Source organism: Homo sapiens, chromosome 5 (assembly GCF_000001405.40).
Source record: "Homo sapiens chromosome 5, GRCh38.p14 Primary Assembly".
Lineage (NCBI taxonomy): Eukaryota > Metazoa > Chordata > Mammalia > Primates > Hominidae > Homo > Homo sapiens.
The window spans coordinates 74,573,650-74,584,372 of record NC_000005.10 but is presented as its reverse complement, the minus strand read 5'-3'; the positions used below and the strand labels follow the sequence as shown (position 1 = coordinate 74,584,372).

The following is a 10,723-nucleotide window of genomic DNA, read 5'->3' as shown; positions in this document are numbered from 1 at the left end:
TAACTGGCCTAACTTAGGAGTTGCCTAATGGAGGAGAGACCTATCGGGGGAATGCCAAAGATAAATTCTTTTCTCTTTGCCATCCTAGAACTCTCAGTGGGCAGATGGCAGTGGGCTGCATGCTCTTGTTCCTTCAGCACAAGTATTTTGGATGCCCTGAACTCCAGCCTCACAGAACCGGGACCAGATGTCACCAGGCTGGTGTCTTATTTCCTGTAGCCAGCTAAGCATCTGAGACTTTTAAATGACCAAATAAGCATCTTGCCTTGCCATTTTTCAAAAAAGCAAAAATACAAACCTAAATTTTTTCTCAAAACTCTGGGTTTTTGAGGATTTTAGGTTAGTGAAACTATTCTATATGATTCTATAATGATGGCTACATGTCATTATGCATTTGTTCAAACCCATAGAATGTATGATACCAAGAGTGAGCTCTGATGTAAACTGTTGACTTTGGCTGATAATAATGTGTCATTGTAGGCTCATCAATGATAACAAGTGCATCACTCTGGTGGGAGTAGGGGATATTGATAGGGGAGGCTATGCATGTGTGGGGACAAGGGATATATAAGAAATCTCTATAACTTTCAATCAGTTTTGCTGTGAACCTAAAACTGCTCTAAAAAAATCAAGTCTAGGCCAGATGTGGTGGCTCATGCCTGTAATCCCTGCACTTTGAGATACCAAGACGGATTACCTGAGTTCAGGAGTTCAAGACCAGCCTGGTCAACATGGTGAAACCCTGTCTATACTAAAAATACAAAAATTAGCTGGGTGCAAAAATTAGGTGGTGCATACCTGTAGTCCCGGCTACTTGGGAGGCTGAGGCAGGAGAATCGCTTGAACCTGGGAAGTGGAGGTTTCAGTGAGCTGGGATCACGCCACTGCACTCCAGCCTGGGTGACAGAGCGACTCTGTCTCAAAAAAAAAAAAAAAGAAAAGCCTATTAAAAAAATATTTGTGCATAGGATGCAGGAAGAGGAAGGTTGGCCAGGTACAGGACGTTTTGTGTATATGTTCCTTCCCCTTTTTTCCTAAGGTAAATCATACCCCCAATCTCTACCATCCTTCTTTCTCTTGCATTCCCCAGCCTCTCCCACTTCACTGGCTCCTGCCTCCTTACCTGTGATCAAACATAAGTTTGTCTCAACCTAAAGAATCTTCCTTGATTCTGCACCCATCACTCAGGCTATGTCCACCAAGTGGCCTCTCGTGACGGCCTCCGACTCTCATTCCTGTTCTGGCTGTTGCAATCTGACTTCCATCCCAAATATTCCATTTCTCCTGCCAAGGTCAAATCTGACCTAGTTGCCGAATTGGATGGAAAGTTCAGCCCTTGTCTAATTTACCTCTCTGCTGCCATTGAAACTCTGTGAGTTCTCTCTGAGGCCCCACCTCCTCTTGGCTGCTGTGACACTGCTCTGTCCTGGTCCTCTTCCTACCTCTCTGACAGTGTGCTTTCACATTGCTTTTTTTTTTTTCTACCTACATATTGATGTGAAAGTCTTACCCATCCCTTGAAACCCAGTCCAATTTCTACTTCTACAAAATCGAACCTCATTTCTAGAATTACTGATCATAACTTCATTTTTCTAAGACTCAGTTTCTTCATCTGCAAAATCAAGATCATTAGAGAACCTACTTCATAGGACTTTTGTGAGGATTCAATGTAAGGAATTGAGCATAGTGCCTGCCATTTACGGAGCTCTTAGTATACGTTGGCCATTATGAATATTATTTCTAAGTGGAATAAATGCCTTTATTACAGTACTTATGAATGGATATTTCTCTCTGGATTGAGGGATCCTGAGGGTGATTGGGGAATTGAAGAGGGGAGTCGGTTTCCTCATCTTTTTGTTTTATTTATTTTTTATTTTCTGAGACAGTGTCTCACTCTGTCGCCCAGGCTGGAGTGCAGTGCCATGATTACGGCTCACTGAAACCTCAACTTCCAGGGCTTAGATGAGCCTCCCACTTCAGCCTCCTGAGTAGCTGGGACTGCAGGAGCATGCCACCACACCTGGCTAATTTTTGTATTTTTTGGAGAGACAGAGGTCTCACTATATTGTCCAGGCCAGTCTTGAACTCCTGGGCTCAAAAAATCCACCCACCTCAGCCTCTCAAAGTGCTAGGATTATAGGCGTCAGCTGCGGCGCCTCTTTTGATTTCTTTCCAGTCACTCAAATTTCCTGTAGTTTGTATTGCTCTGACTCATAATAATGAATTCTGTATCATTCAGTACAATCCAGCTCAGTTCAACAAAGCCACATTAAGCTGTCTATTGAATATCAGACCTTGCACTAGGCTTTGAGATGCACAAATGAATGAAGATCAATCCTTGCTCTCCAGGAGTTCTAAGTTGGGCTAAGATCGCTTGGGTACAAACTGTCTAACTTTCACACCAAGTTGGAGATTTAGGCATGATAACTACAACAGGGTTGGTCTGGTGATTTGGGGTTGGATTGAGGGTTAATTCAATGTGTGGCTATAATTACACAATTGGGTGTGATGATGCCTGCGTCTCCCAGGTGATTGCGTTTACTCACACCAGTGAGACTGTTCAGGTGTGTTTTGTGTCCTAACAGCTTCTGCTTCTTTGAGGCTGATTTTCTTGGCCAGACTTCCACAGCCACTAGGTTCACTCTTCTAGGGAGTCTGCAGAACTTGTTCCCAGATGTCTCTTTCCTAAGGAGGGGAAGGGAATTTGGACTGGGTGACCTCTAAAGTCCCTCTGACCTTGACACTCTTTGATGTTAGAAAAGCAGCCCAGAGGCTGGGCGCGGTGGCTCACGTCTGTAATTCCAGCACATTGGGAGGCTTGGGCAGGTGGATCACGAGGTCAGGAGTTCGAGACCAGCCTGGCCAACATGGTGAAACCCCATCTCTACTAATAATACAAACATTAGCCGGGTGTGGTGGTGCATGCCTGTAATTCCAGCTACTTGGGAGGCTGAGGCAGGAGAATCGCTTGAACCTGGGAGGCAGAGGTTGCAGTGAGCCGAGATTGTGCCATTGAACTCCAACCTGGGCAACAAGAGCGAAACTCCATCTCAAAATGAAAAAAAAAAAAAAAAAGAAAAGCAGCCCAGAGCCAGAGGTCAGAGTTCGGCGGCAGCATTGATGCTGGCCTGTTTGGCTTGTCAGTGTTAATCAGTAAACGGGTTGCTAAGACAATATTTGAGAAACAGATTCTAGTGGATTAAGGTGGAGGTGGGGTAGAAGACAGTGTTCTTTGAAGACAACAGTAGTCAGAGGGAAACATAAAATAAGTCCAGTTTAGGCTCCACCCTCTCCGGGAAGCCTTTCTGCTCTCTTGGACCTAGGTGTCTATATTCTAGGTATATATATTCCAGATATAATATATTCTGGATTTAGACCATGATGGACCTCTGACCATAGGGCTTTGCTCTTTGTTTTTTTAAAATGAAGTGTGTTTTGCAATCACCAAAGAGATTTTGATCTACTCAAGATAGTGACTTTGTCTTATGCATTTTTTTGGAAATGCCCCTTTTCCCATAGCACCTAGTTCCAGCTAGAGGCAGAGTATGTGTTTCATGAGAATTCGACTGATAGCCTGACAGTTTCCAAGGTTTGCAGCTTAAGCCTTCTGTGGTGGGCAGCAGAGGCTCGAGGCTTCCTCTCCTCACTGCAAGTCCCTGAGAAGGATCTCGAGATGGTGCTTTTCCTGAAACCCCCCTGCACCCAATCCACTGCTACTTGAGCTGAGTTCTTTCATAGTTGGTTCCCAGGAACAATCAACCAAGTATGAAAGATGGGGTGACAGACTTTTCTTGGAATGCAGGTGGGGGCTGGCTTCCCATTCTCCCTGGGGAAGTAAACACTTTCCGTATATCCTTCACCCTGACTTCCATCTGTGGTTCAGGTCCCACAGATCTCTTAAAGTCCAAGAGGGCTGTGGAGGTGATGGGTGCAAAGCTTTTCAAAATTTCATGCAAATTTTGTGATGTATACTTTTTCTAGAGAATAGGTCTATTCCTTTAAATACCTTTATGTTCCCCCAAATGTGAAGAACTACTACGTTATCCACATTTCTGCTACACAGGCTTCTGGGGAATTATTTGTGTGGGAACAAACACAGATCCTACATGAGAAATAGGGGATGAGCAGGCCATGTGGCTTGGGGCCTCAAGCTTGAGGGTGGGGCTCCAGTGTTGCTGTTTTTAGTGGCAAACTTGTTCATGACTAGTAGTCAAGGTTCAACAGTAATATTGCTTTTAAATAAAATTCCTCAACTCGCCTCCCACATTAGCCAAATCTGAGGGTAGGAAGACCACCTCAAGATCGAGGGTCCTCAAAACTGGAAAGCCGGGGCTTCACAGAGGCTCTTTGGAGAGCTTGGGCATGGCCTGGTTCCAGCAGAGAATCTGGAGCAAGTATCTAGGAGTGGTTTTCTTTTTTCAGTAAGCATGGAAAGGAAAAAGTTGGGAGAGACTTTGCCTGAAATGAAAGCCCCTCGTACAATATTGCGCCCCCCAAAATCAAACAGTGACTTTCTGCTCCTGTGGCCAGAAGAATCTTCAAGTTTCAGAGAAAGCATCATGGCATATATATATAAATTTGAGACGGAGTATTGCTCTGTTGCCCTGGCTGGAGGGCAGTGGAGCGATCTCAACTCACTGCAACCTCCGCCTCCCAGGTTCAAGTGATTCTCCTGCCTCAGACTCCTGAGTAGCTGGGATGACAGGTGCCTGCCACCATGCCCGGCTAATTTTTGTATTTTTAGTACAGATGGGGTTTTACCATGTTGGTTAGGCTGGCCTCAAACTCCTGACCTCAAGTGATCTGCCCGCCTTGGCCTCCCAAAGTGCTGGGATTATAGGCGTGGGCCACTGTGCCCAGCCCGGATCCATATTTTTGTACAACGAGAGATTCACTTTTAGCTCTCACTTTAAGCAGGAAGTGGTTCTTTCTGACTAAAAAGGGGTTTAGCTGCCACACCTTCCATTTGCTGGACAATACAGTAAGACAGAGAGAGAGTGGTTACTGGGAGTACAAGCGATAACACTGTGCTGTCATTCCTGGGGTTAGCAAGCCACAAAGACTAAGGACTACTTGTGGTTGGAAACAAGGGCCCGGAAGCCGGCGGTGCACACTGAGAGGCATCGTCTGAACAACTGGGGAAACACAAATGAGGCTCCACATCTTGATCAATCCTGTTTATCACAAGGGAAGAAATTATGACTGGTTTTGTGCTAAAGAGAAATTAAAACTGAGATCAAAAGCAGTTATACACACTTTATGTTTATTTAAAATGCACACATACATGGTACCCATGCAAAGTAAACTGTGCATAATTCTCATGGAGAGCGTTTTTTTTTTGTTGTTCTAACAGTATCTTTTGTTGTCCTCACAGGGTTGTGAGTTAAGGAACTCTTAGGTAATGTCGTATTGAGGTACCTGATTTGGTAGACACGCCAAGATGTTGAAAGTCAGTATCAGGGCTCAGAGCATGAAAATCCGGGGATCCCCTTTGTAGAACTCTGCCTTAAGAAGGCTATTTCTATCTGGGTTTACTTCTGTTACACATAGTTTTAGGATTGTGGCTACCATGTTGAGTGTTTCTGTGACCACCAAAGTTCTATTTCTCTCTGTTACTAACTCTTTGAGTTTTAGTGCCTTTGTTTAGAGAGATTAGGGGAAAAACAGATTTTTTTTTTTGTATAATTGTTGAGTAGTGTAATTTTCAAATAATAATAATAATAAGCATTTCCTATAACTTAGGCACTATTTTAGTTGCTTCACATGTATTAAATCAGTGACATTTCACAATCACATCATGAAATAGGTGCCGTGTTTATCCCCATTTTACAGATGAAGAAGCTGAGGTGCTGAGAGATTGGAAACTAGCCTGAGGGGAATAGCTAGTAAGCAGCAAGGCCAGGACGCAAACACTGGCAATCTGGTCCCTTACTGATGCCATGCTTCTCTTCAGAGCGCCCAGCCTTTCAGCAAGATTCTCCAAAAAGGTTGTAATGATAAGGCTGGTCTTAGCAGTCTCTGGGCACGGGGCTTGCTCCTGTCACTGCTGGGCAAGGGTGGGTTGCTTGCTGTCTGTGGGCTCTCTCTTGCCTCTGATGAAGAAGGGGAGGAGGTTGGTGACACAGTGTCTTAAGTCGAGCATATGCATGCCTCTGTTTAACTCCTAAGGCATCTGTGTTGGGCACATAATGACAGAGAATTAATATTCAATGATCTCTTGACTGATTTTCCGCTTGTATAATATATGTTCCCAGGCAAGAAAATTTTCGTGGTATCAAAGCAAAGTGGAAATCAGAAAATGTGAAGGTAGTCTAAATGTCTTGCAAGCAGAAGTTTGGTAGGACCAGACATACGATTTAGTTAATGGTCTATTACTTTCCACTGAAAAGCTTGTTTTATATTAAAAATGGATCATTTCATTTGAAGTACAGTTGGTCCTCTGTATTCATGGGTTCTGCAGCCAACGATTCAACCAACATGGATGGAAAATATTTGAAAAAAAAAAAATTGCCTCTGTACTGAATAGGTACAGATGTTTTTTTTTTCCTTGTCATCATTCCCTAACCAACGTAGTATAACAATGATTAACATAGTATTTACATTTTATTGGGTATCATAAGTAATTTAGAGATGATTTAAAGTATACTGGGAGGATGTGCAAGGGTTCTATGCAAATACTATAGCATTTTATGCCAAAGACTTGAACATTTGTGAGTTTTGGTATCTGTGGGGAGTCCTGGAACCAATCTTCCTCAGATACCAAGGGATGACTGTAGATTATCTGAAATAATCTATTGAGAGACCGCTCTTACGCACCTGCACTGCAACTTATCCCCCTTCAGCCACACAAACCAATGGGCACAAAACATTAAGGCACACAAACACCAAAACAAAGAGATGGCTAGAGTGGTTGACAGGGTAAGCAAATTGCCTCCTAATCTAATACATGAAACCAGCCTTGCCACACCTAAGTAAACACGCTCTTCTGATGTTGATACTGCCCTCCAGGCCACGAATGATATTGCCCTCCAAAACACAAAGCTGCAGCAAAATGCACCAAGTTCTATGGCCCAACCCGTGGGCTTTCCAACTGGGCTCTTGTGAAAAAGCAGTGCAGGTGAGGGCTGGGCTGCCAGTGGGCGCGGGCTGTCACCAAGCTGGTGCCTTTCTGGAATCTGAGGCCTGAGGCTTTGTTTCCTGGCTAGGGATATTTTCTCAGAGTTGGAAATACCCTCCCTTCCTTGCTTTCCTTCATTCCCACCCCCTGTATCTTAAATCTGTGTCATTCTCAGAGCTCTCTGTGGAACTGAAACAATGCAAGAATCTGGCCTAGCCTTCCTCTGCTTGCCTAACTTCTTTCAGTTTCTGTTTGGCCCAACGGAATATGAGAGAAAGATTAAAAGCAGATTGTATGAAGCAAAATGACTAAACCATTTCTCGTAAAGGGCAATGTTTTTTAAAGAAAATCAGGAAGATTGCTTTGCCTGAAATAATTGTTACAATAAAGTATATTTTGAAATTATTATTATTTTTTTTTTGGAGACAGTCTTGCTCTGCCTCCCAGGCTGGAGTGCAGGGGTATAAACATAGTTCACTGCATCCTCAAACTCCTGGGCACAAGTGATTCTCCTGCCTCAGCCTCCCAAGTAGCTGGGACTACAGGTATGTGCCGCTGTGCCTTGCTAATATTTTTATTTTAGTAGAGATGGGGGTCTTGCTGTGTTGTCCAGGCTGGTCTCCAACTCCTGGCCTAAAGTGATCCTCCCGCCTTGGCCTTTCAAAGCACTGGGAATACAAGCATGCGCTACCATGCCCGGCTGAATTTAATTTTTCAATTTAATATGATCTGTTGCTCAGAAAAACCACGGTTATTAGCGTACACTTAGCATGGAAGGTGGAATACGTGTGTTAATGATTACCTTTTCCTTCTGTAAACACTAAGACCCACCGTAAGTGCCTTCACATGTAGCGTCTCATGTAATCCTCATGAGTGACCTGCAAGACAAGCTACTTCAGACAGGAGTCTGAGAGGCTGTGGCCTTGCTAAAGTCCAAAACCAGTTAGGTGTGAATGGAGACTCAAATCCAGATTTCCTATTGCCAAATACTGTGTTCTTCCTATTACAGGACTCTGCTTAATACATCATCCTCAAAAAAGTTGCTTCTCAGTTATTTTCTAAAACTCCTCACAACCCGGAGAAGTCAAAGGCTTGTCGTAGTCCGGTTTGCAATGTCAGAGCCTTCATATGTCATGAAATATTTGGAGTGCTGGGTGGGCAGGAGGGCCTTACGTCTGTAACGTTGAATACCACAACCCCGGGCCTCCTGGCAGTCTTTGACTAGCGAAGGGTGAAGTGGAGCATAGTCATTCCTGATTCGTGGTACTCAAAGAGCCTAAGCCGGGAACTCAGATAATGGAAATGAATTATGTGATTCAATTATACTATTCAGTTAAAGGTGAGTAATTATAGTCATCTTTATACTTTGTAGTCTTAACCTCGTGGCATTTCCTGACTCTGACATACTTTGGCATGATTACATCTACCAGCTGGGACTATGACTAATTCCTTTGAGCTATTCTCTGCTTGTTGTTCTTATTTGTGATGGGGAGCTATCTCTTTTAAATCTGCACCGAAAAGACCAATTATTATTATTACTTTTATAGATGTAGCTTAACACAGTGCTGGAACACAGTTAATGCCCAATAAATGGTGGTTATAATAATTAAAAATCAAGGTTTGCACAGGAACCTGCTGAACAAGTGATTTTTGAAGCACTATAGTCATCTAATAACTTGGGAAAGTTGTGAACGTTTTTCTTTTCTGGTTTTTTTTTTTTTTTTTTTTTTTTTTCTGAAATGGAGTCTCACTCTGTCACCCAGGCTGGAGGGCAGTGGCCCGATCTCGACTCACTGCAACCTCCACCTCCAGGGTTTAAGTGATTCTCCTGCCTCAGCTCCCCCAGTAACTGGGATTGCAGGCATGTGCCACCACACCTGGCTAATTTTTGTGTTTTTAGTAGAGGCATAGTTTTACCATGTTGCCCAGGCTGGTCTTGAACTCCTGACCTCAAATGATCTGCCTGCTTCAGCCTCCCAAAGTGCTGGGATTATAGGCATGAGCCACTGTGCCTGGCTGTGAACGTTTTTCAAAAGTGGCCACATCGGAAACCCAAAGAAAGGTAGCAAAAGAAATGATTGCCATAGCATCTTTATACTTAACCATTTTATTTCTTCGATTATTTAGTGAAAAAGATAGATGAGGACTTTTCAAAATTAACACTCACTTTATAAAGAATTACAATTTTGGAATAATAATGTGAACATGTTTGATTGGAAGAACTTTGACAAGCTTCCAATCATCACCTGGTATTGATAAAACACTTCCTGAAGGGCCACTTCAAGCTGGCACCTGCCTGCTCCAGCTCCACTCCACTGCAGAGATCAAACAACTGTCTCTGGATCCCTGGCCCATCCAGTTGGTCCTGAACCATCAGGAACAAACTTGGCAGAAAATTAAACACCTAAGTCTTTTGCTTTTTCTTTTCTCTTTTCTTTCTTTCTTTTTTTTTTTTTTTTTTTGAGACAGAGTCTTGCTCAGTCACCCAGGCTGGAGTGCAGTGGTGCGATCTTGGCTCACTGCAACCCTCACCGCCCGGGTTCAAGCAATTTTCATGCCTCAGCCTCCTGAGTAGCTGGGATTACAGGCGTGCAGCACCATGCACGGCTAATTTTTGTATTTTTAGTAGAGACAGGGTTTCACCATGTTGGCTAGGCTGGTCTCGAACTCCCGACCTCAGGTGATCCGCCCGCCTCGGCCTCCCAAAGTGCTGGGATTACAGGCATGAATCACCGCGCCCAGCCTAAACACCTAATTCTTATGAGCAGGTAAGGTGTGGAGTCAGTGTTAAGTGCCCAGTGAGCTGTAACCATCTCAACTCCCATTGTGTGCATCTAGTTTCTGATTTCTACTCCATTTCCCTCGACTTAGAGATTTCTACTACTGTGTTCCCTTTATCAAAATAGACAACCTTTGCCCAGAAAAGAGGTTGGTTGGACAATTGCATTTTAAGGGCAGGGGGAAAAGGACAGGGTGCAGAAAACAAGGGGGCACATTGTAGACATTTAAAAAGAAATAATAAAAGGAAATAAATTTGATCTTTTATTATCACCAGGAGCTGACCATCCTAAACAATGTCAGTGACAAAATATTCCCACGCTCTGCCAAATCTTTTGTTGGTCTAAGTACTAAACAACTGACTTTTAATAATTATAATAAGCTTCTACATAAGCTTCAAAGGAGCACATTTTTATTATTGTCCTTTACACATTGTACTTTCCATGGAATCTAATTCTAAGGACTCCTAGTGATACAATTGGTCTCCAACAGAGGCAGACTCAGACCCATGTTTGTAATGATTCAAAAACATTTGAGTTCAATTAGGGTGCAAGTTTGTCTCTCTATTCCTGTGGGAGCAAATATTCCTGCATTTAACCAGGGGATTAAAAATGAAAGTGATAAAACAGTGACATGAAAAACATGATCACTTGGAGTTTTTACGTGTGTTTAAAATTTTAAACAGGGAAACAATGTGAACTGCAAGATTCATTACTATAAGAGACCAATATGTATGTACGAGTTTTTTCTCCTTTCAAAAAATTCATAAATGTAAATCAGAAAGTATTAATATATTTTTTCCTTTTATGTATTTTAATATGTATTTTG

The 10,723-nt window shown here is 43.0% G+C and overlaps 2 annotated features.

Annotated features, from left to right (window-relative positions):
* Positions 6,859-7,028: an enhancer, noted in NCBI's record as "active region_22669". NCBI's record gives its function as "activates an Ori minimal core promoter by ATAC-STARR-seq in GM12878 lymphoblastoid cells {active_cell/tissue: GM12878}" and the evidence as "EXISTENCE:reporter gene assay evidence [ECO:0000049][PMID:35858748]".
* Positions 7,239-7,458: an enhancer, noted in NCBI's record as "active region_22668". NCBI's record gives its function as "activates an Ori minimal core promoter by ATAC-STARR-seq in GM12878 lymphoblastoid cells {active_cell/tissue: GM12878}" and the evidence as "EXISTENCE:reporter gene assay evidence [ECO:0000049][PMID:35858748]".